Genomic DNA, 25,700 nt, shown 5'->3' on the forward strand with positions numbered 1-25,700 from the left:
ACCCCATCTATACCAAAAATATTAATGCCAAAAATTAGCCATGCATGGTGGTGTGCGCCTGTAGTCCCAGCTACTCAGAAGGCTGAGGCAGGAGAATTGCTTGAACCTGGGAGGTAGAGGTTGCAGTGAGCTGAGAGCCACTGCACTCCAGCCTGGCAACAGAGCAACACTCCGTCTCAAAAAAAAAAAAAAAAAAAAAAAGAATGGGAACTTTTACTAGAACTCTCTCACCTAGAACTTCTACCAAAATAGCATCAGTGAAATTTAAATCTCAATGAAAAGGAAAAATGCTAGATTGAACATGTCTAAAGAGTTTCTGTATTGGGAGGTCTAAGGAAATCAGATGGAATGCAGCAAAGGAATAAAGATATGAAAAATATGAAAGAATAATTAAGACAATATAAATAGAATTAGAAAATCAATGTGTAAGCTTCAGAAGGAGAAAAAGAGAAAATGAGGAAAAGATAATTTTTAATTTTTGTGGGTACAGAGTAAGTGTATATATTTATGGGGTACATGAGATGTTTTGATACAGGCATGCAATGCATAATAATCACATCATGTAAAATGGGGTATCCATTCCCTCAAGCATTTATCATTTGAGTTACAAATAATCCAATTATACTCTGTATTTTACTTTATTTTGTTATTTTTGAGACGAAGTATCGCTCTGTTGCCCAAGCTGGAGTGCAATGGCACAATCTCTGCTTACTGCATCCTCTGCCTCCCGGCTTCAAGCGATTCTCCTCCCTCAGCCTCCCGAGTAGCTGGGATTACAGGCATGCATACCACACCCAGCTAATTTTTGTATTTTTAGTAGTGACAAGGTTTCACCATGTTGGCCAGGCTCGTCTTGAACTACTGACCTCAGGTGATTCCCCTGCCTCGGCCTCCCAAAGTGCTGGGATTACAGGCATGAGCCACTGCTCCCGGCCTATACTCTTTATTTTAAAATGTACAATTAAATTATTATTGACTGTAGACACCCTATTGTGCTATCAAATTCTTTCTTTCTTTCTTTCTTTTCTTTCTCTCTCTCTCTCTCTTTCTTTCTTTCTTTTTTTTTTTTTCATTGACCAGCCCCCTCACACTTCCACTACACTTCCCAGCCTCTGGTAATCCTCCTTCTGCTCTCTATCTCCATGAGTTCAATTGTTTTGATTTTTAGATCCCACAAATAAGTGAGAACATGCAATGTTAGTATTTTTGTGCCTGGCTTATTTCACTTAGCATAGTGACCTCCGGTTCCATCCATGTTGTTGCAAATGATAGGATCTCATTCTTTTTTTTTTCATCTCTGAATAGCACTCCATTGTGTATATGTACCATATTTTCTTTATCCATTCATCTGTTGATGGACACTTAGGGTGCTTCCAAATTATGGCTATTGTTAATAGTGCTGCAACAAACATGGGAGTGCACGTATCTCTTTGATATACTGATTTCCTTTTTTTGGAGTATATACCCAGCAGTGGGATTACTGGATCATATGGTAGCTTTGTTTTAGTTTTTTGAGGAACCTTCAAACCGTTCTCCACAGTGGTTGTATTAATTAACATTCCCACCAACAATGTATGGGAGTTCCCTTTTCTCTATAGCCTCACACCATTTGTTATTGCCTGTTTTTTGGATATAAGCCATCTTAAATGGGGTGAGATGATATCTCATTGTAGCTTTGATTTGCATTTCTCTGATGATCAGTGATGTTGAGTACTTTTTCATATGTTTCTTACGTTTCCCATTTGTATGTCTTCTTTTGAGAAATGTCTGTTCAAATCTTTTGTCCATTTTTAATCAGATTATTAGACTTTTTCCTGTAAAGTTGTTTGCATCTCTTATATATTCTGGTTATTAATCGCTTGTCACATGAGTAGTTTGCAAATATTTTCTCCCATTCTATGGGTTGTCTCTTCAGTTAGTTAATCATTCCCTTTGCTGTGCAGAAGGTTTTTAACTTGAAGTGATCCCATTTATACATTTTTGCTTTAGTTGCCTGTGCTTATGGGGTATTATTCAAGAAATTTTGGCCCAGACCAATGTCCTGGAGAGTTTCCCCAATGTGTTTTGATAGTAGTTTCATAGTTTGAGGTCTTAGATTTGAGTCTTTAATCCATTTTAATTTGATTTTTATGTATAGTGAGAGATAAAGATCTTGTTTCATTCTTCTGCATATGGATATTAAGTTTTCCCAGCATCATGTGTTGAACAGATTGTCTTTTTTCCCAGTGTATGTTTTTGAAACCTTGTCAAAAATAAGTTCACTGTAGGTGTGTGGATTTATATCTGGATTCTCCATTCTGTTCTGTTGGTCCATGTGTTTGTTTTTATGCCAGTACCATGCTGTTTTGGTTACTATAGCTCTGTAAAATAATTTGAAGTCAGGTAATGTGATTCCTCCAGTTTTGTCCTTTTTGCTTAGAATAGCTTTGGATATTTTGCTTTTGTTGTGCTTCCATATAAATATTTGAATTGTTTTTTCTATTTCTGTGAAGAATGTCATTGGTATTTTGATAGGGATTTAATTGAATCTGTAGATTGCTTTGGGTAGTATGGACATTTTAACAATATTCATTCTTCCAATCCATGAATATGGAATATCTTTTCACTTTCTGGTGTCCTCTCAATTTCTCTCATCAGTGTTTTATAATTTTCATTATAGAGATCTTTCACTTTTTTGGTTAATTCCTAGGTATTTAATTTTATCTGTGGCTATTGTAAATGGGACCACTTTTTTTGTTGGTTTTATCACATTCACTGTTGGCATATAGAAATGCCATTTTTTGTATGTTTTATGTTTATGCCATGTTTTTTGTATGTTGATTTTGCATCCTGCAACTTTACTGAATTTATCAGTTCTAATAGTTTGTTTTTTTTTTTCTAGATGGACTCTTGCTCTATCCATCTGCTGCACTCTTGCTGGAGTGCGGTGGCATGATCTTGGCTCACTGCAGCCTCCGCATCCTGGGTTCAAGTGATTTTTCTGCCTCAGCCTCCTGAGTAGCTGGGACTACAGGCCTGTGCCACCACATCCAGCTAATTTTGTATTTTTAGTAGAGACGGGCTTCACCATGTTGGCCAGGCTGGTCTCCAACTCCTGATCTCAAAATCCTGACCTCAAGTGATCCACTTGCTTTGGGCTCCCAAATATCGGGATTACAGGTGTGATCCACCAGGCCTGGTCTTTTTTTTTTTTTTTTTTTTTTGAGACAGAGACTTACTCTGTCACCCAGGCTGGAGTGCAATGGCGCAATCTTGGCTCACTGCAACCTCTGCCTCCCAGGTTCAAGTGATTCTATTGCCTCAGCCTGGGATTACAGGTGCACACCACCACACCTGGTTAATTTTTGTATTTTTAGTAGAGACGGAGTTTCACCATGTTGGCCAGCCTGATCTTAAACTCCTGACCTCAGGTGATCCACCCACCTTGGCCTCCCAAATTGCTGGGATTACAGGCATGAGACACGGTGCCCAGCCAATCAGTTCTAATAGTTTTTTTTACGGAATCTTTAGGTTTTTCTAAATATAAGATTATATTGTCTGCAAACAAGGATAATTTGACTTCTTCCTTTCCAATTTGGATGCCCTTTCTTTCTTTTTTCGGATTGCTCTGGCTAGGACTTCCAGTGCTATGTTGAATAATAGTGGCGAAAGTGGGCATCCTTGTCATGTTCCAGAGGAAAGGCTTTCAGTTTTTCCCCATTCAGAATGATATACTAGCTGTGGGTCTGTAATATATGGCTTTAATTAAGTTGAGGTATGTTCCTTCCATATGCAGTTTTTTTGACGGTTTTTATCATGAAGGGATGTTGAATTTTATCAAATGCTTTTCCAGCATCTTTTTGTCTTTCATTCTGTTGATATGATATAGCACATTGATTTGCATATGTTGAACCATCCTTGCATCCCAGGGATAAATCCCACTTGGACATGATAAGTTATCTTTTTAATGTATTGTTGAATTCAGTTTGCTAGTATTTTGTTGGGGATTTTTGCATCAATATTTATCAGAAAATTTGGCCTGTAGTTTTCTTTTTTTATGTGTCTTTTTCTGGTTTTGGTATTAGGGTAATACTGACTTCATAGAATGAGTTCAGAAGTATTCCCTCCTCCTCCATTTTTTAGAGTAGTTTGAGTAGGATTGGTGTTAGTTCTTCAAATGTTTGGTAGAATTCAGCAGTGAAGCCATTGGGTCATGGGCTTTTCTTTACTTGAAGACTTTGAAATTATGGCTTCAATCTCATTACTTGCTATTGGTGTGTCCAGGTTTTGGATTTCTTCATGATTCAACCTTGATAGGTTGTATGTATCTAGGAATTTGTCAGTTTCTTCTAGTTTTCCAATGTATTGGCATATAGTTGCTCATAGTAGCCACTAATGATATTTGAATTTCTGCTGTATCAGTTGAAATGTCTCCTTTTTCATCCCTGATTTTATTTACTTGGATCTTCTCCTTTTTGTTCTTAGTCTGCTAAAGGTTTGTTAGTTTTGTTTAACTTTTCGAAGAACCAACTTATAGTTTCATTGATCTTTTGTATTGTTTTCTCCATTTTGATTTTTTTTATTTCTGCTCTAATCTTTATTATGTCATTTTTTCTACTAATGATTTTGGGTTTGGCTTGTTCTTGCTCTTCCAATTTTTAAAGATGCATTGTTAAGTTGTTTATTTGAAGTTTTTCTTTCTTTTTTTTATGTAGGCACTTACAACTACAAACTTCCCTCTTAGTATTGCTTTTGCTGTATCCCATAGGTTTTGGTATATTGTGTTTCCATTATCATTTGTTTTAAGAAAAATTTCGATTTCCTTTTTAATTTCTTTATTGACCCACTGGTCATTCAGGAGCATATTGTTTAACTTCCGTGTGTTTGTATCATTTCCAAAGTTTCTCTTCTTATTGATTTCTACTTTTATTTAATTGTGGTCAGAGAAGATGCTTGATATTATTTCAGTTTTTTTGGAATGTCTTAAGACTTGTTTTGTGACCTAATATGTGGTCTATCTGTGAGAATGATGCATGTGCTGAGGAAAATAATGTGTATTCTGCAGCTGTTGGATGAAATGTTCTGTAAATATCTATTAGGTTCATTTGGTCTATAGTGCAGATTAAGTCCAATGTTTCTTTGCTGATTGTCTGTCTGAAAGACCTGTCCAATCCTGAAAATAGGGTGCTGAGGTCTCTAGCTATTGTTGCATTGAATCCTCTCTCCCTCTTTAGCTCTAACAATATTTGCTCTATATATCTGGGTGGTCCTGTGTTGGGTGCACATATATTTAAAATTGTTATATCTTGTTGCTGAATTGACCACTTTATCATTATATGGTGACCTTCTTTGTCTGTTCTTATAGTTTTTGTCTTGAAATCTATTTTGTCTTATATAAGAGAAAATATTCCTGCTCTTTTTTGGCTTTCATCAGCATGGAATATTGTTTTCCATTCACTTATTTCCAGTCTGTGTGTATCTTTATAGATGAAGTGTGTTTCTTGCAGGCAACAGATCATTGGGTCTTCTTTTTTATCCATTCAGCCACTCTATGTCTTTTTTCTTTTTTTTTTTTTTTTTTGAGATGGAGTCTCACTCTGTCGCCCAATCTCCTCCTCCTGGGTTCAAGCAATTCTCCTGACTCAGCCTCCTGAGTAGCTGGGACTACAGGCACGTGCCACCACACCTGACTAATTTTTGTATTTTTGGTAGAGACAGGGTTTTACTATGTTGGCCAGGCTGTTCTCAAACTCCTGACCTCAGGTGATCCGCCCACCTTGGCATCCCAAAGTGCTGTGATTACAGGCATGAGCTACTGCACCCGGCTCACTCTATGTATTTTGATTGGAGAGTTTAGTCCATTTACATTAAGTGTTATTATTAATAAGTAAAAACATGCTCATGACATTTTGTTATTTGTCTTCTGGTTGTTTTGTGGTCTTTCCTTCCTTCTTTCTTTCCTTCTTGTCTTCCTCTTAGTGAAGGTGATTTTCTCTGGTGATATGAATTGGTTTTTTACTTTTTGTTTTTTGTGTATCCATTATGTGTTTACTGGTTTGTGGTTACCATGAGGCTTGCAAAAAATATAACCCATTATTTTAAGCTGATAACAAAACTGTTTGCATAAATAAGAAAAGAAGCAAAAAGAAAATTAATAAGGACTATGCCTTAACTTCATCCTCCAGCCTTTTAACTTTTTGTTGTTTCTATTTATAATTTATTGTATTGACTATGTCTTGAAAAGTTGTGGTAGTTATTATTTTTTGTTGGTTCATCATTTTGTTTTTCTATTGAAGATAAGAGTAATTTACATACCACAGTTACAGTGTTATAATATTCCAGGTTTTTCTGTGTACTTACTATTATCAGTGAGTTTTGTACATTCACATAATTTCTTGTTGCTCATTAACATCCTTTTCTTTTTGATTGAAGCACTCCTTTTAGCATTTCTTGTAGGATATGTCTAGTGTTGATGAAATCCCTCAGTTTTTGTTTGTCTGGGAAAGTCTTTATTTCTCCATCATGTTTGAAGGATGTTTTCACCAGATATGCTATTCTGAGACAAAAGTTTTTTCCTTCAGCACTTTAAATATGTCTTGCCACTCTCACCTGGCCTGTAAGGTTTCCACTGCAAAATCTGCTGCTAGATGTATTGGAGCTCCATTGTGTGTTATTTGTTTCTTTTCTCTTACTGCTTTTAGGATACTTTCTTTGTCCTTTACTTTTGGGAGTTTGGTTATTAAATTTCTTGAGGTAGTCTTCTTTGGGTTAAATCTGCTTTGTGTGTATAACCTTCTTATACTTGGATATTGATATCATTCTCTAAGTTTGGGAAATTCTCTGTTATTATGCCTTTGAATAAACTTTCTACTCCTATCTCTTTCTTTATGTTCACTTTAAGGCCAATAACTATTAGATTTGCCCTTTCGAGGTTATTTTCTAGATCCTGTAGGTGTGCTTCATTGTTTTTAATTCTTTTTCTTCTGTCTCCTCCTCTGACTGTGTATTGTTAAATAGCCTGCCTTCAAGCTCACTAATTCTTTCTTCTACTTGATCAATTCTTCTATTAAAAGACTGATGTTGAGGCCGGGCACGGTGGCTCACGCCTGTAATCCCAGTACTTTGGGAGGCCGAGGCGGGTGCATCACCTGAGGTCAAGAGTTCAAGACCAGCCTGGCTAACATGGTGAAACCCCAGCTCTACTAAAAATACAAAAATTAGCTGGGCATGGTGCAGGCACCTATAATCCCAGCTACTAGGGAGGCTGAGGCAGGAGAATCGCTGCGGAGATTGTACCACTGCACTCCAACCTGATCCACAGAGTGAGACTCCATTTCAGAAAAAAAAAGAAAAGAAAAGAAAAAAAAAGACTGATGCATTGTGCACAGTGGCTCACACCTGTAATCCCAGCACGTTGGGAGGCTGAGGCTGGCAGATCACCTAAGGTCAGGAGTTCAAGTTCAGCCTGGATAACATGATCAAACCCTGTCTCTACTAAAAATACAAAAATTACCCAAGTATGGTGGCGCTCATCTGTAGTCCCAGCTACTTGGGAGGGTGAGGCAAAATAATTGCTTGAACCCGGGAGGCAGAGGTTTCAGTGAGCCAAGATCACACCAGTGCACTCCAGCCTGGGTGACAGAGCGAGAGTCTGTCTGAAAAAAATGAAAAAGCAACAAAATTGATGCATTCTTCAGTATGCCAATTTCATTTTTCAGCTCCAGAATTCCTGCTTCATTCTTTTAAATTATCTCCATCTCTTTATTAAGTGTATCTGATGAAATTCTGAATTTCTTCTGTGTTATCTTGAATTTCTTTGCATTTCCTCAACACAGCTATTTTGAATTATCTGTCTAAAGGGTCATATAGCTCTGTTTCTCCAGGATTGCTCCCTGGTGCCTTATTTAGTTGATGTGAGGTCATGTTTTCCTGGATGGTGTTGATATTCTTCAGTGTCTGGGCTTTGAAGAGTTAGATATTTATTGTAATCTTCTCAGTCTGGGCTTGTTTGTACCCACCCTTCTTGGGAAGGCTTTCCAGATATCTGAAAGGACTTGGGTGTTGTGATTTAAGCTGTATCTGCTTTAGGGGGCACCCCAAGCCCAGTACTGCTGTGGCTCTTGCAGTTTCATAAAGGTACCACCTTGATGGTCTTAGACAAGATCCCGGAGAATTTTCTGGATTACCAGGCAGAGGCTCTTGTTCTCTTCTCTTATTTTCTCCTAAAAAAATGGAGCCTTTCTGTTCTGAACACCCTGGAGCTGGGGTGGTGTGACACATGCACCCCTGTGGCCACCACCACAAGGACTGCACTGGGTCAGACCTGAAGCCAGCACAGCATTGGGTCTTGCCCAAGGCCTGCTCTAACCACTCCCTAGGGATGGCCCATATTTACTGAAGGCCCTGAGGCTCTATAGTCAGTAGGTGGCAAAGCCAGCTAGGCCTATGTCCTTCCCACAAGGTGGCAAGTTTCCATGGGCCCCAATCATGTCCAGAGGAGCTATCTGGGAGCAAGGGTAGAGTTTAAAACCTTAGAAGTCTACCTGATGTTCTATTGTACTGTGGCTGAGTTTGCACTCAAACCACAAGATGCAGTCCTTCCCACTTTTCCTTCTCCTTTCCAAAGGCAGAGGAGCCTCATCCTGTGGTCACCACCACAGGCCCATGGGAGTTATTGCCAGACTACCACTGATGTTCCTTTAAAGCCCAAGGTCTCGTATGTCAGCCTGTGGTGAATGCTTCCTGGCCTGTGACTCACTATTTAGGGCAGTGGACTTCCCTCTGACACAACGCAGGTCCAGAAATGCCACCCAAAAGCCCTCTTGGTGCTCTACCCTGTGTGGCCAAGCTGGTACCTAAGGTACAAGACAAAGTCCCCTTTGTTTTTCCCTCCACTTTTCTCAAGTCTCCTCTTACGGGAAGGAGACTCATCCCATAGCCAGCATATCTGGAAATGTGCTGAGTCTCATCTGAAGCCACCAAATCTCAGAGTCTTACCCAAGCCCTTGACATAGTATCTGGGTATCACTGCTGGTTGTTCAGGGCCCAAAGGCTCTTCAGTTAGCAGATGATGAATCCTGCCAAGACTGGGTCCTTCCCTTCAAGGCAGTAGGTTCCTTTCTAATGTGTCTAGACATGTCATCTGGGAACTAGGGCCTGGAAAGAGGGACCCATGACTCTGACCGGTTCCCTATCCTTCCATGGCTGAGCTGGTATCCAAGATGCAAGAAAAAGTCCTCCAAACTCTTCTGGCTGCTCCCATCAAGTGGAGGGAGAGTCCCTTTTGGAGCTACAATCTGTGCAGCCTGGAAGTAGGGGAGGGGTGAGGCCAGCACTCCCTTAACTCCCCCACCTGCTGTCTCAGTAGATTGCATGCCCTCGCAATCCACTGTCTCTGGGACCAGTTCAGCATTAGGACTCACCTAGGCATTGCAGTCCTTGTGGCTTAGCCTGCCTTTCAAGTTTATTTTGGACCCCAGAGTACCTTAGCACACAGTGGTGAGGTTTGTGGGAACTCAATCTCGGATCACTGAAGTATGGTTTCTGCTGAACGCATATCGCTTTCACACCATCATGAAGTAGAAAAAGCATAAGTTGAACCGTTGTAAATTAGGGACCATCTGTATTTTAAAAAATGACCATTAGACTGACAGACCTCTCATTACCAACAATAAGGGTTAGGAGATAATGAAATAATAGTTTCAGAATGGGGAGGGAAAGGACACTTCAGCTTAGAATTCTATAATCAAATAAGCTATATTCAAGACTGAGGGCAAAAAGACATTGTCATATAAGTTTGCATATATGACTCTCAGTGAAAGAACTCTAAGTGACAGAAACGCTAAATAATGCATTTCAGTAAGAAGAAAAATAAATCCAGAAGAAAAAAGTAGCATGAAAGAAACAAATGAATTTGTAACCATTTGGTAACTCTAAATAAGGATTTGCTATGCTGCTACTACTACTACTACCACTACTAATGGCTAGTGTTAATAGAAGTTAGAAACAAAGAGGAATGAAAAGAATAGAAAACATTAACATGGAAGAAAGGAGGGGAGAAATTTGAGTTAGTGTTCTAAGTTCCTTGAAGAAAGATAATAGAAAAAATGTTTAATTTTTGACTTATTTATTTTTTGTAACAGCCTTATTGAGGTATTATTAATCAACAATAAACCAAACATATTTAAATCATGCAATGTGATAAGAATGACATATGTATACACTCGTGAAATCATCACCATAATCAAGTAAATGATCATACCTACCATCCCTAAAAGTGTCCTCACGACCTTTGGAATTCTTGCCTCCCAAATTTTCCCACCTCCCCAAACCATCACTGATCTGCTTTCTGTTCCTATAGATTGGTTTGTATTCTTTAGAATTTTATATAAATGGAATAATACAGTACCTACACTTTTTTTGTCTGGCTTTTCTCATTCCACATAGTTTTTTTTGTTTTGTTTTGAGACAAGGTATCACTCTGTTGCCAGGCTGGAGTGAGTGCAGTGGCATATTCACAGCTCACTACAGCCTCGGCCCCCTGGGCTCAATTGATCCTTCCATCTCAGTCTCCTGAGTAGCTGGGACTACATGTGCATGCCATTATACCCGGCTAATTTTTGTACTTTTTGTAGAAATGGGGTTTTGCCATGCTGCCCAGGCTGGTCTCAAATTCGGGGGCACAAGCGATCTACTCCCCTCAGCCTTCCAAAGTGTTTCAATTATAATTGTTAGCCACTGTGCCCAGCCCTGCATAGTTAAGATTCCACCATGTTGAGTATATCAGTGGTACATACCTTTTTATTACTAAAATTCCACTGTTTATATATACACCACAATTCACATATCTCTTCATTTGTTGATAACACTTGAGTTGTTTTAGTTTTTGGTCAAGTTAAGCTTCTGTGAATATCATGTAAATGTCTTTGTATGGCCACGTGCAACAGTGTTGGGAGCTGAGGTCTAATGTGAGGTAATTAGGCCATGAGGGTGGAGTGAATGGATTAATGTTGTTATATGAAAATGAGTTCCTTATGGAAGTTCAGCCCCCTTTTGCTCTCTGTTGCCCTCTCTGTCCTTTCACCATGGCATGATGCAAAAAAAAGTTCTCATCAGATGCTGGTGCCTTAATCTTGAACTTCCAAGACACCAGAACTGTAAGGAATATATCTCATTGTAGGTTTTTAATTTTTTAAAGACAGGATCTTGCTCTGTCACCCAGACTGGAATACAGTGGTAGAATCACAGCTCCTTGCAAGCTTGAAATCCTGGGCTAGGGCCATCCTCCTGCCTTGGCCTCCCAAAGTGCTAGCTTACAGGCATGAGCCAGGGTGCCTGGCCTCATTGTAGTTTTAATTTGCATTGTCCTAATGATGAATGATGTGGAGCATCTTTTCATGTGTTTATTAGCCATGGATATATTTCCCTGGGCGAAGCATCTGTTCAAGTCTTTTTTCCGTTGTACTCTTACTTAGTTTTGAGAGTTCTTTATGCATTCTGGGAACAAGTCCTTTATCAAACATATAATTTGTAAATACTTTTTCTTAGTCTGCAGTGGATCTTTTCATTCTATTAACCATGTCTTTAGCATAGCAGATGTTTTTAGTTGGATGAAGTCCAATTTATCATTTTTTTTCTTGCTGGCATACCTAAGACATCTTTGCCTAACCCAAGGTAACAAAGATTTTTTCCTATATTTTTTTCTGAAGTTGTATAGTTTTGGAATTTGCACTTATTTCTACAATTGCTTTGAGTTGTGTTGTAAATGGTGTGGGTATAGATAAACGTTCATTTGTTGCATGTGGATATCCAATTTCTGTACAACTATTGTTACAATCATTTGCTGAAAAGACTATCCTTTCTCCACTGAAATGCCATTGCACCTTTGTCAAAACCCATTGTCCATATATCTGTGGTCTCACCTCTGGACTCACCATTCTATTCTATTGATCACTCTATCTTTATATCAATAGCATACTCTCTTAATTAGTGTGGCTTTATAATAAGTCTTGAAATCAGGTAGAATTTGTCCTCCCATTTTGTCCTTTTTTTTTTTTTTTGAGATGGAGTCTTACTTTATCTCCCAGGCTGGAGTGCAGTGGCGCGATTTCGGCTCACTGCAACCTCTACCTCCCGGGTTCAAGCGATTCTCCTGCCTCAGCCTCCCGAGTAGCTGGGACTACAGGCGCGTGTCACCACGTCTGGCTATTTTTTTGTATTTTTAGTAGAGACTGAGTTTCACCGTGTTAGCCAGGATGGTCTCCATCTCCTGACCTTGTGATCTGCCTGCCTCGGCCCCCCAAAGTGCTGGGATTATAGGCGTGAGCCACCAAGCCTGGCCTTGTATTTTTTTTTTCCAAGTTGTTTTTCCTATTCTAGGTCCTTGCAATTCCACATGAATTTTAGAATTATCTTATCGATTTCTACAAAAAAAAGTCTTATGGAATTTCATTTTGGAATACAAGAAATCTATAGATCTATTTGGAGGGAATTGATGTCTTAAAAATAATAAGTTTTCTGAGTTTGGACACCATATATTGTAATTTTCAGTGTACAGGTTTTGCATATCTTTTGCCAGATTTATACCTAAGTATTTCATATTTTTGATGCTACCATAAATGGTATTTTTAATTTCAATTTTTTTAAGTTTATTTCTACTATAGAGTAACACATTTGAATTTTGTATATCAATCTTCTATCCTGAAACCTTGTTAAATTCATATATTAGTTCTAGTAACTTTAATAGATTCCGTTAGGTTTTCTACATAAAAGATCATGCCATCTGTTAATAAAGACAGTTGGCTTCTTCATTCCAGACCAGATACTTTTTTTTCCCTTTCTTTCTTTTCCTTTTTTTCTTGTAGATGGAGTCTTGCTCTTGTTGCCCAGTCTGGAGTGCAGTGGTGCCATCTTGGCTCACTGCAACCTCTGCCTCCTGGGTTCAAGCGATTCTCCTGCCTCAGCCTCCCGAGTAGCTGGGATTACAGGTGCCTGCCACCACACCCAGCTTATTTTTTGTATTTTGGGTAGAGATGGGGTTTCACCATGTTGGCCAGGCTGGCCAGGCTGGTCTCGAACTCCTGAACTCAGGTGGTCCACCCATCTCAGCCTCCCAAAGTGCTGGGATTACAGGCATGAGCCACTGCACCTGGCACTTTTTTTTTCCTTTTTTTTTTTTTTTTTTTTTTTTTTACAGAGTCTTGCTCTGTCACCCAGGCTGGAGTGTAGTGGCATGACCTCGGCTCACTGCAACCTCCACCTCTCCAGGTTCAAGCAATTCTTCTGCCTCAGCCTCCCAAGTAGCTGGGACTACAGGCATGCATCACCATGCCTGACTAATTTTTGTATTTTAGTAGAGATGGGGTTTCATCATGTTAGCCAGGCTGGTCTCGAACTCTTGACCTCAGGTAATCTGCCCGCCTTGGCCTCACAAAGTGCTGGGATTACAGGCGTAAGCCACCACGACTGGCCTTTTTGTTTTTTCAATACAGACAGGGTTTCTCCATGTTTCCTAGGCTGGTCTTGAACTCCTGAGCTCAGGCAATCCAGCTAATTTTTGTATTTTTAGTAGAGACGGTGTTTCACCATGTTAGCCAGGCTAGTCTCCAACTCCTGACCTCAGGCAATTCACCCACCTCAGCCTCCCAAAGTGCTAGGATTACAGGCGTGAGTCACCATGCCTGGCCTTTTTCTTTTCTTCAATAGAGACGGTTTCACCATGTTTCCTAGGCTTGTCTTGAACTCCTGAGCTCAGGCAATCCACCCGCCTTGGCCTCCCAAAGTGCTGGGATCGCAAGCATGAGCCACCATACCTGGGCCAAACCTGATGCATTTTATTTTGTTTTCTCAACTTACTGTAATGGCCAGAACCTTTAGGACAATGTTGAATAAAAAGGGTGAGATTGGATATTCCTGCCTTATGCCTGATTTTAGGAAGAAAGAATTTAGTCTTTGTATTTCTTGGAGTTCTCCAGAGAAACAGAAACACACACACACACACACACACACACACACACACACACATACACACACAGTTGTTGGTTTTATTTTTTCCTTTTGAGACAGTCTCGCTTTGTTGCCCAGGCTGGAGTTCAGTGGCATGATCTCAGCTCACTGCAACCTCCACCTCCCCGGTTCAAGTGATCCTTGTTCAGCCTCCTGAGTAGCTGGGACTACAGGCAGGCACCACCATGCCCGGCTAATTTTTGTATTTTAGTAGAGATGGGATTTCACCATGTTGGTCAGGCTGGTCTCCAACTCTTGACCTCAAGTGATCCACCTGCCTCAGCCTCTCAAAGTGCTGGGATAACATGCGTGAGCCAGTGTTCAGCCTATATACACTGTGACCCTTGAACAGTGTGGGTTTGAATTGCATGTATCCATTTCTACACATATTTTCTTCCACCTCTGCCATCTGTAAGATAGCAATTCCAACCCCTTCTCTTCCTCCTCTTCCTCAGCCTACTCCACATGAAGACAAGGGTAAAGACCTTTATGATGATCACTTCCCCTTAATAAATAGTATTTTCTCTTCGTTATAATTCTTAATAACATTTTCTTTTCTCTAGCTTACTTTATTGTAAAAATACAATATATAATACATATACAAAATATGTGTCAATGAACTATATTATCAATAAGATTTTTGTCAATAGTAGGCTATTAGTAGTTAAGTTTTGGAGGTATCAAAAGTTATACGTGGATTTTCAGCTACACTGGGGGGATGGTCAGCACCCCAAACCCTGAATTGTTCAAGGGTCTACTATATATATATTTGGCTCACATGATTATGGAGACTGGCAGGTTCAAAATCTGCAGGGTGGCCAGGTACGGTGGCTCATGCCTGTAATCCCAACACTTTGGGAGGCCGAGGCGGGTGGATCGCCTGAGGTCAGGAGTGCAAGACCAACCTGGCCAACATGGTGAAACCCTGTCTCAACTAAAAATACTAAAATTAGTTGGGCATGGTGGCACATGCCTGTAGTCCCAGCTACTTGGGAGGTTGAGGCAGGATGATCAATTGAACCTGGGAGGTGGAGGTTGCAGTGAGCCGAGATCGCGCCACTGCACTCCAGCCTGTGCGACGGAGTGAGACCCTGTCTCAAAAAAACAAAAACAAAATCTGCAGAGTGGGCTGGCAGGCTGGAGATGAGCCCATTGTGATTCAAATCCAAGGGCTGTCTGCTGGCAGAATTTCTTCTTACATGGAAAGATCAATCTTTGTTTTACTAAGGCCTTCAACTGATTGGATATGGCCCACTTACCTTACGGAGAAAAATCTGCTTTACTGAATGTCCACTGAATTAAATGTTCATGCCATCCACAAAAACACTCACAGAAACCCCCAGAATAATGTTTGACCAAATATCTACTTGTCCCAGCCAAGTTAACACATAAAATTAACCATCACAGCCTTTCATTGTTAAGTATGATATAAGTAGGGTTTTTTGTAGATAGCTTTTGTCAAGTTGAGCAAGTTCCCTTCTATTCCTAGTCAGTTGAGGGCTCGTATCAGGAATGGATGTTGAATTTGTCAAATACTTATTCTCCGTCTAGTGATATAATTATATGGCTTTCCTTTTTTAGTCTGTTATATTGTGAATTATATTATTTGATTTTTTTAAATGCTAAAACAACCTTGCCTTCCTAGAATGAACCCCGCTTGGTCAGGATGTATTATTTTTGTTATATATTATTGGCTTATATTTGCTAAAATTTTGAATTTTATGTTGGCTATAGTTTTCTTTCTTGTAATGTCTTTAATCAGTTTTGGTATCAGGGTAATATTGACCTATGAGTTGGGAAATATTCATCCATCTTCAATTTTCTGGAAGTGTTTGTTTAGGTAGCATTGGTACCCTTTCTACCATAAGTGGGTGGTAAAATTCCCAATATAGCTGTCTGCCCCTATTGTTTTCTTTGTGGGAGGATTTTATTTTATTTTTTCAGTAGAGGTGGGGTATTACCATGTTGCCCAGGCTGCTCTCCAATTCCTGGACTCAAACAATCCACTCGCCTTGACCTCCCAATGTGCTGGGCTTATAGGCATGAGCCACTGCACCTGGCCCTTTGTGGGAAGATTTTTAACTATAGATTCCATTACTTTAATAGATATATGGCAATTCAGGTTATCTGTTTCTTCTTGAATCAGCTTTGGTAGATTGTGTCTTTTAAGGAATGAACATATCCATTTCATTCACATTGTAGAATTTATTGACATATAGTTGTTCAAAACATTCCCTGATTATCCTTTCAGGATGTGTGGAATTTGTAGTTAACTTTGTCATTCATGATGCTGGTTATTTGTGTCTTTTTTCTTTTTTTCCTGGTAAATCTGAATAGATGTTGATAACATTGGTATTGGTATAATATTCTTAAGGGACTAGTTTTTGGTGTCATCAATTTTCCTATTGTTTTTCTGTTTTCCATTTCATTGATTTTTGCTCTAATCTTCATTATTCTTTCTGCTTCGTTTGGTTTTCACTTGTTTCTTTTTTTCTAGTTTCTTAAGTTAGACATTGAGAACATTGATTTTAAATCTTTGTTCTTTTCTTTCTTTTTATTTATTTATTTATTTATTTATTTATTTATTTATTTATTTATTTATTTTAAAGAAAGGCAGGACCTGTCACCCAGGCTGGAGTGCAGCAGTGCAATTAACTCACTGCAGCCTCAAGATCCTGGGCTCAAGCAATCATTCCGTATCAGCCTCCCAAGTAGCTGGGACTATAGGTACACATCATCACAGTCAGTTCATTTTACAATTTTTTTTTTACAGACAAGGACTTGCTGTGATACCCAGGCTGGTCTTGAACTCCTGGCCTCAAGCGATCCTCTTAATTTGTTCTCCCAAAGTGCTGGGATTACAGGCATGGCACCTTGCCTGTTCTTTCCTAACATAGGGATTTAGTGTTCTAAATTCCTAACTGCCATTTTAGCTGCATCCCACAAATTTTAATATGTTGTGTTTTCACTTACATTTGATTCAAAATACATTATAATTTCCCCTTAATTTTTAAAAATTGGTCCATGGTTCTTGGAAGTACATTATTTGGTTCCTGAATTTTAGTTATTTAGTTTTCAGATTTTCCATTGATCTTTCTGTTCTTGATTTCTAATTTAATTCCATTGTGGTAAAGGAATAGACTTTGTAATAGAGAGGGTCGTTGAAATTGCTGACTATAATTGTGGATCTATTTCTCCTTGGAGATCATGTATTTTTGTTGTTGTTGTTGTTTTGAGATGGCATCTCACTCTGTTGTCCAGGCTGGAGTGCAGTGGCATCATCTCAGCTCACTGAACTTCCACCTTCCGGGTTCAAGTGATTCTCCTGCCTCAGCCTACCAAGTAGCTGGGATTACAGGCACGCACCACCGTGCCTGGCTAATTTTTGTATTTTTAGTAGAGATGGGGTTTCACCATGCTGGCCAGGCGGGTCTTAAACACCTGACCTCAAGTGATCCACCTGCCTCGGCCTCCCAAAGTGCTGGGATTACAGGCATGAGCCACCATGCCCGGCCGGAGTTCATGTATTTCGAAACGCTGTTATTGAGTGTTATGTTCTTCTGATGAATTCACCTCTTTATTATTAAATGACTAGCTTTGGGTTTTTTCCTCACATGCATGTACTGATCTGTACTCAAATGAATACTGGAATGGCCACCTCTGAAGATCTCTGGAGATTGCTCTTCTTGCAGCTCTCTCTTTTTTGGTACTCTGTCCTGAGAACACTAGCTCCTTGGGTTCACTGAACAAGCAGCTGTGCCTCGCCAGTCAAGGATGCCCCCAGGCTCAGTCTGGGTTCCCCTTCTTTGCACTGTGCCCTAGGAACTTTCTCCAGGCAGTAAGCTGGGGTAGTCCTAGGGCTTTCTATGTTCATTTCTCATCTCTCAGGGATCACTATTCTTCATTGCCTGATGGTTAATGTCTTGAGGGTTGTTGTTTCGTATATATTTGTCCAGTGTTTTTTATTAGTTTCATGTGTGAGTATAAATGTGGTCCTTATATTCCATCTTGATCAAAAGCAGAAGTCACATTATGCTTTTATATATAAGAATAGATGGGCCAGGCATGGTGGCTCTTGCCTTTAATCCCAAAACTTTGGGAGGCCAAGGATGGAGGATCACTTGAGGCCAGAAGTTCAAGACCAGCCTGTACAACATGGTGAAGCCCCATCTCTGGAAAAAATAAAATAATTAGCTGGGTGTAGCAGCATGTGCCTGTAGTTCCAGTTACCCAGGAGGCTGATGTGGGAGGATCACTGGAGCCCGGGAGGCCAAGGCTGCAGTGAGCCATAATCTCACCACTGCACTGCAGCCTGGGTGACAGAGTGAGACCCTGTCTAAAAACAAAAACAAAAACAAAAATACATGATAATTTCAGAGAAAAATTTTAAGGCAATATAGAATACTGATTTGTGAATCAAAATACCTAATTTCCAAATCTCTCACTTGTATAAACTAGAAAAAAATTACTTTGTTGGGTCTATGCTTCCTTACTGTTGTATTGATAGGATAAAATAACATAAAGGCATTTAGTAAAATATGAAGTCATATACAAATGTAAAGTATTATTCAAAGGTACAAAATATGTGGGGAAGAAGTTAGAAGATAATTGTTGTTTACCCATTGTTTACCCACATCTATTGCCTCCTTGCTATTAGACTCTTGATTTTATCCAGGTGAGGAATATGTCAAGCCACAGGTTACACTTGGCTCTGCCCGCTCTTCTTGCAGCTAGGAATGGGCATATTACTCAGCTGCGGAAAATGAGGAATAATTGGCAGTCTGCCAGTGGTTTGATGTACCACTAGCAAGCCCCTGCTTTCCTGATAAAAGGAACAGGCTTAACTGAGTGTATAGGAGAGGAGATGTACCTGTCAGCCATAACTTAAACACATTCTGAAAATGACCCTGTGGCTTAAGAAGAACGTGTGTTTGGAGTTCTGAGCTAAGGGATCTGGAAGCGACCTATCTCATTCATTCCTTATATCTGTGGAACATCTGGGCCCCCATGCTGTGTAGGGGATGGAGGCCCTTTGTTTTGAGTCAGATGGAGGTTGTCAGGTGGAGGTTGCTACAGGGAAGGTGCTAACTGAAATTCTATATAAACTTCATGCTTGTTACAAGCAGTTGTGTTTCTCCTGTCCAGCCCACCACCACTGGATTACCCTGTGTGCAAGTCCCCCCAATAAGCCCCATATATATATCTCATTCTCTGGCTCTGGGTCATTCTCTGGGTCTCTTCTTCGGCCTCTTGAACATGGTGCCCTTCCTACTGAAGTCAAATAGGGGTCTGGCCATGACACTGACATTGCCCCTTCCCCCCTGCTTTCTGCCTGGAATACAGGCAGACTTGATTCATAGCACCCTGACTGATTCATAGCACCCTGACTGTTATTTTATAAGTACATGGGAAAGGACCAGGCCATCCTACAGATACTGGCTGTAGCCTTACTGAATTGCCAAAAAAAATTTGGCAGCTACCTTTCTCCATATTTCTTGTCATATGAGAAAAATATATTATTTAAGACATTATTAGTTGGGTGGTGAAAGCATTCCTAATTGATTCAGGAGGAGGAGGGGAACTGGAGAGTTAAGTTACATCTTGGTAAGTTAACTGTTTAAAGAAGGCTGTATAAAGCAAAAGGGAAAAAACTCATGTTTAAAATTTGTTTACAAATCAAGAGCAGTGCCTGGCACATAGTAAGTGCTCAATAAATATTCTTCAAATAAATGTAGGTGAATATGTCAATCTTGCAGAACTGTTGTAGATGTAAATTGACAAATAGCAATCCCTCTAAAATCCCAGCTAGTTCTACTTCACAATTTTGATTCAGGACTATCAATAGTTGTATTTTTCACAGAGCACTGACCTCATTTGTACATAATTACACACACAAGGAGAATCTTAGGGTTACTACTCTGTAGCCAAGTTCAGTTAGCCTTTCTAAGACACTAAGTGAACTTACCTGCAGAGCTGTTCCTTACATTTAGAACCTGAGGAGATACCAATAAAACTTAGCTCCAATCCCTCAAACAGCTGATCTTGTAGAAGTATTTGTCCTGAATAATGGAAAAGCTTCTTTGAAAGCAATCACACCATTGTAGAGGAATCCCAGACCAAGCCATCCCTGGCATAGCTTGGAAATGCACATAGAAGATAAATGTTCTAACATTTCAGTGTCCCTGGAAGCTAAGTACAGTTTTAATAGACATTTTTCTTTTTTTCTTTCTTTTTAAGATAGGACCTTGATTTTGCTCTGTTGCCCAGGCTGGAGTAGAGTGGCACACCTATGGCTCACTGCAGCCTCAACCACCCAGGCTCAAGCAATCCTTCCACCTCAGCCTCCCTAGCAGCAGCTAGGAAGACAGGTGGATGTCACACACCAAAAATTTAAAAAAATTTTTGCATATTTTTAAACATTTTAAGCCATTAGGTTTTAAAGGTAGTTTTGTTACATCACATAGATAATAGGTAAAAATATCACTTTATAGTACTTACGATTTGCAAAATATAGTATCTTCTGAGTCAGGGATCAGCAAACATTTTCTGTAAAGGGCCTGATAGTAAAAACTTCAGGCTTTGAGGGCCATATGGTCTATGTCATATCAACTCAACTCCATCCTTGCAGTGCAAAAGCAGCTATAGATAGTAGGTAAATAAATGGTTTTACTGTGTTCCGATAAAACTATTTATAAGAGTAGGCAGATGAATGGATTTGGTTTACAGGCATAGTTTTCTGAATTCTGTTCTAAGTTGACAGTCTAGAAGAAGGTATATAATTCTCATCTCATAGTATGCATCCAATTATTAATAATTAGCTTCTTTGTTGTCTTCAGAAAATTCTGTATGGGAAGAAATCTTGCAGGCTTTGTTATAAAGAATATCAAACTGGCACAGTGGCTCACACCTGTAAACCCAACACTTTGGGAGGCCAAGGCAGGAGGATAGCTGGCAGCCAGGAATTTGAGACCAGCCTGGGCAACAGTGAGATCCCATCTCTCTTTCCCATGATTCTTCCCTTAGGGTAGGCGTTCTGCATGCATGGTGCTCTTCTTACCCTGGGGAATTGAGCACACACAGTGTGTTTAGGAAGTTGTATGCATGCCCATACAACTGGCTTTCTTTTTCTTTTCTTTTTTTTTCCAGTGGAGTGTACCTGGAAGATCATACTTCGCCATTTTTGTCTCTTAATAATTTTGCATTTTTCTTAGAGATGGAGTTTCTCCATGTTGCCAGGCTGGTCTTAAACTCCTGGGCTCAAGCAATACTCCTGCCTTGGCCTCCCAAACTGCTGGGCTTACAGGTGTGAGCCACTATGCCCGGCCCAGACATTTTCTTTTTTGCCAATATTTTGCACATGAGCTGTAACAAATCATATATAATAATAATAATAAATGGAATATACATTTTTAAATGATTGCTTGATTTTAATTCTGTGGGGAGGAAGAGTGCTACAATTAAGGTAATAGAAATGTCTTTTCTTTCCTTTCCCTCCATGCCGTCTCCCCGCAAAGAATTTCCTAAGATTTTGATGGATTCTTATAGAAATTGTACAAGCCTATGGAGTGTTTATTTCTCCTCTTAATAATCACAAATAACAACCAAATATTAGAGATTCCAAACATTGAAATGGCAGGAAAGTTCTTTTGGTTCATAGATTTGCACACTTTTTCCTTGGCTTCCCTCGAAGTGTGAGCTTATGAGAGAGACTAGATGTGATAAGACGTAAGGGGAGAAAAAGGTCTTGGTTACTGGCAGAAATATAGCCGCAGGGAGACATAAATGTAATCAAAAAGGCTTTCTCAACTGCAGAAAAGAATTCCAGCCTTTTTTATCCAGATGGGCAACCCTCTGGGTGGGCTGATTTTGTGAGTCAATCAGATCCAAAGTATATGTCTAGAGATTACAAGGAAATAAATACATTTGTGGGTCAGAAATGTTTCACCTGGTCCGAACTGCTTTCTTTCTCTCTCATTTTCATTAGTTTGGAGTGTGTGTGTATCTAAACCGCCCTGCTTTTCTCTCAGATCAGTAACACATTTGCTATTAACTTTGATACAACACTGCTTTAGAAATACAGGTTACAGTTATTCAGAATTTTAAGTTGAATTTATTTATACTGTCTCCATTCTTTAAAGACTAGAAGTGGTTTAATAGAACATACATGATGTATTTGTGTGTATTTGTGTCATATGCTTTTGGAAAAAGTCACTTGTCAATTCCACAAATAGTTCTTGGGCGTCTACTATGTTTAAAGTATCTTGAAGTTTATAAAGATGAATGAAATGTCCTTGATTGAATCTTGGTGTACTACCTTGTCCAGAAACACTTGCTATTTACTAAAAGGATAACAACCTTACCTGCATATCAAAATCACCTGGGGAGCTTGTTGAAAATACACCGGCCCAGGCTTCGGCTCTCAGCTTAGGGAGATTCTGATAATACGCAGAGCCCAAGGTGTGTGTAGTTTTAACAAAAAGCTTCCCAAGCGAATCTGATACACATCTAGGATTAAGAAACACTGCTTTAAACTAAGAAAGGACTAACTGCAGAAGTTCAGCCACAAGTCAACCAGATGTATGCCCTTAACATTCACATGAGCAGTTGGCTAAAGTCTCTTATAAGGCTATTTCTATTTCCGAGGTTTCAGAACGGGTAGTTATAGTCTGAAATACACCCCAGAGGACAGAGTCAGGTCCAATCTTTTCTGTAAGACACCTTGCTCAAGACTGCTGTGAAGGAATAAGAGAGCTGCAGCCAAAGATCATCCCAAAGTCTCCCAGAACACTCTATCATTATATCCATCTCACATGAAATATGGGTGTGTACATTTTTTCCTTCACTAGATTGGCAAGTATTCCAGCGCAGGGCAAATCTCTTTTTTCTCCCACCAAGGAACACAATATCCCATACATAATAGGTGTTTGACAGGTTTTTTTTTTAAATTGAATTGAATCCTTACCTAGCTCCTAGGGTCTGACTATATATACCCATAAATTATACATCTGTTTATAAAACATTTCAATCACACCAAAGAACATATATATGGAAGAAAGAACGATAAACAAGCACCCATGGACCCACCCCCCCGTTTATGAAACAGAACTTTGCCAGTGCTTTCGAAGTTCCTTACTGAACTAGATCTTTTAAAAACAGCAACGATTTTCTGAATTTTAATCAGAAGGCATGCATTCCTTCATTCATTGATTCGATTCCGTCATGGTCAGACCCGCCTACCAAGTGTCAACATGATATACACGATGTAAGTATTCCACTGTTGGGGTGAGGAGGGTCAAAAGTGACAATATGCTATCTCCAGAGACTACGGATCGCCTTTGCTGCAAATGGTCCCAACCCGGCCTGGCGCTCTAGAGCAGGCGTGGTTTCTGCGCGCGGACACTTTGGAGAGAAACTACGCGTCCCGGCAGTCCGCGGGGCGAGTGGGCGGAGCCGGGCCGGGGGCGGGGGCCGGGCGCCGGGCGAGAGGTGGCATTGTGTAGGGGAGCGCGGAGCTGCATTTGTCTGCTCCAGGTGCTAGCCAGGCAGGCGCAGCCGTGGCCGGCTAGGGCTGGAAGTGTCAGCGGCGGCCGCGGGCCCGGCAGAAGGCCGAGTAGGAGGGACCACGCGCCGGGGGCCGCGATCTCTGGCAGGGGGCGGTGTGCCAGCGGAGCACCATGCACATAGGCGCCCAGCGCCCCAACTACCCCTCCCGAGGAAAAGAGGCCGGGGCCGCGCTGGGGCGGCGGAGAGCATGAGGGAGGCCGGGGGGCGGCTCGGCTTGGAGCGCTGCTAGGGAGCGGTGCGCGCCGCACACCCGCCTGGGCGCGGCGGAGGGCGGGGAGCCGGGCAGGTCGCGCCTGCGGGCGGCAGCCGACCGCCGGGAGCTGTTCTGATTTCCGACGCGCACGCTAGGGGCCCGGAGCAGCCCCCGGCCCCGGCGCGCCGCCGACATGGGCAACGCAGGGAGCATGGATTCGCAGCAGACCGATTTCAGGGCGCACAACGTGCCTTTGAAGCTGCCGATGCCAGAGCCAGGTGAACTGGAGGAGCGATTTGCCATCGTGCTGGTAAGTGCGCGGCGGCGGTCGGGCGCGGGGACCCGGGGCCCCGGGCCGGGCGGCGCAGCTGACCCCCGCCCCTCCCCTTCACCCCGTGCCGGGAGCGAGCCTCCATTCCCGAGGGGGAGGCTCCCGCTTTCCCCTTTGTGGCCCCCCAGCACTCCTCTTCACCCCCCTGGCAGTCCCCCGCGCTCAGTCTCTCGGGGTCCCGGGATGGGGATGGGGGCTCAGGGCCGGCTGCCCAACCAGCCTCGAACCCATTGTCTGGCTGGAGAGGCACCTCACGGCGCGTGTGCCCGGGAGGTGCGGCGTGGGCGTGAAGAGAAGGTGGCGCGGGCTGGGAGGAGGAGGTGGCGAGCCGCTTAGGCTTTTTTTTTAAAAAAAACAAAACAAAACAAAACAAAACAAAACACCCTGAGCCCCTGCGGACCATCCCTCGGGCGGCCAGCCCGGGACCTGCGAAGTCCCCGGCAGATGGGGCGCATGTGGCCGGCCGCGGGCGCCGCGCCGGGCGGTGAGCGGAGGCGAACTTGGAGGGCTCACGTCGCGGCTTGGCCAAGGGGAGCTTCCCCGAAAGGGAAAGCGGAGACCCACAGCAGTGCGGCGCCCCGGCCCTTGGCGAGGAGCAGGGGCATCTGAAACCCAGGCCGGGGAGAACCTCAGCGCGTTCCCTCTAGACTTAAATCTTAAACCACAAAAATGTGGAGTTTTGCGGGGACGTGTTGCGAGCTGTCCTGACTGCACGGGCGACCCCTCCCCTCCTCTTGCACGCCCAGCCAGGTCCCCCGCTCCCTCCTGCATTCCGCTTCTCCCAGCTTTCCAGCTCCTCAAATCCAGGACTCTGAAAACTCCCCTCTTTCTCCCTTTCCTGCTGGGACAGTGTCTGGGCCCCTCCCAGCCGAGGCTTGTGCTGTGAGCTGCAGAGGGTGTGGCGGCTTGCCCCAGCCAGGATCTGGACTGCTGTTGGTCCCCCAGACTACCAGTTTTAGTGTCCCAGCCTCTTCTAAGGGATGTTGGGAGGGACACACACAGGCGAGATTGGGCTCATTCCTACTCCTGACACTTGGACACTTCTCTTTTCCTAGTTGGTTACCTCTAAACTCCACAAGACTAGGCAGCAAGGGAAACTCGTGATCCGGGCAGCCAACGATTGTGCCTGCCTGCGGGTTTTCTTTTCTTCTTTTGTTTTCATGAAAACTTAGAACTTTGGCAGAGGACTCGAGTTCTAGATCAAAAATCGGTTTTCTGAGGTGTGCTCAGCTACAGGACGTTCAAATTGCCTGCCTTCAGGCCTTGAAAAAGGAATGGTTTGGTATGGGAAGTGATGTTCTGGATGGCAGGTTAGCTGTGTGCTCTTTGGGAGAACTGAGCTCTCTCTCCCGCCACCTGGAAACTCTGGTGTGGCCGTCGGGGAGACAGATGAGGTTGCTTGTGTTGCTTTGCATCTCCTGTGATCTCCCACAGCTGCTCCCACCGTTGTGCAAGATGGGACACTGAAATGAAACGGCCTAGGCATAACTCTCAAGGCGGCCTGGGTGCATACTTGACCTGCTTTTCCAGAGACAAACGTTTTTCTTCAAAACCCTCTTCCTACTAGACATATGGTTCTTACCTCCTGGCTCTGGCTTTTTTTCCTCCTGGCTCTGGCTTTTTTGTTTT

At 41.8% G+C, this 25,700-nt stretch overlaps 1 protein-coding gene across 13 annotated transcripts in view, besides 3 other annotated features; it reads left to right on the forward strand.

Annotated features, from left to right (window-relative positions):
* Window positions 14,969-15,468: an enhancer, noted in NCBI's record as "H3K4me1 hESC enhancer chr2:153183153-153183652 (GRCh37/hg19 assembly coordinates)". NCBI's record gives its function as "activates a minimal SCP1, AML or CMV promoter by ChIP-STARR-seq in primed H9 embryonic stem cells {active_cell/tissue: H9 hESC(primed)}" and the evidence as "EXISTENCE:reporter gene assay evidence [ECO:0000049][PMID:30033119]".
* Window positions 23,304-23,953: a silencer, noted in NCBI's record as "silent region_12011". NCBI's record gives its function as "represses an Ori minimal core promoter by ATAC-STARR-seq in GM12878 lymphoblastoid cells {active_cell/tissue: GM12878}" and the evidence as "EXISTENCE:reporter gene assay evidence [ECO:0000049][PMID:35858748]".
* Window positions 23,504-25,700, forward strand: part of FMNL2 (formin like 2) — a 314,653-nt gene continuing 312,456 nt past the window's right edge. For all 13 annotated transcript variants that reach the window (XR_241279.5, XM_011510531.2, XM_011510533.4 and 10 more), the window contains exon 1: window positions 23,504-24,050. Coding sequence is in view for 12 of the 13 variants with exons in the window: in XM_011510531.2 (XP_011508833.1) it covers window positions 23,934-24,050 (117 nt within the window). In the remaining variant the exon portion in view is untranslated. The remainder of the gene's footprint in view (window positions 24,051-25,700) is intronic.
* Window positions 24,464-24,563: a silencer, noted in NCBI's record as "silent region_12012". NCBI's record gives its function as "represses an Ori minimal core promoter by ATAC-STARR-seq in GM12878 lymphoblastoid cells {active_cell/tissue: GM12878}" and the evidence as "EXISTENCE:reporter gene assay evidence [ECO:0000049][PMID:35858748]".

This window comes from Homo sapiens, chromosome 2 (assembly GCF_000001405.40).
Source record: "Homo sapiens chromosome 2, GRCh38.p14 Primary Assembly".
NCBI classification, from domain to species: domain Eukaryota; kingdom Metazoa; phylum Chordata; class Mammalia; order Primates; family Hominidae; genus Homo; species Homo sapiens.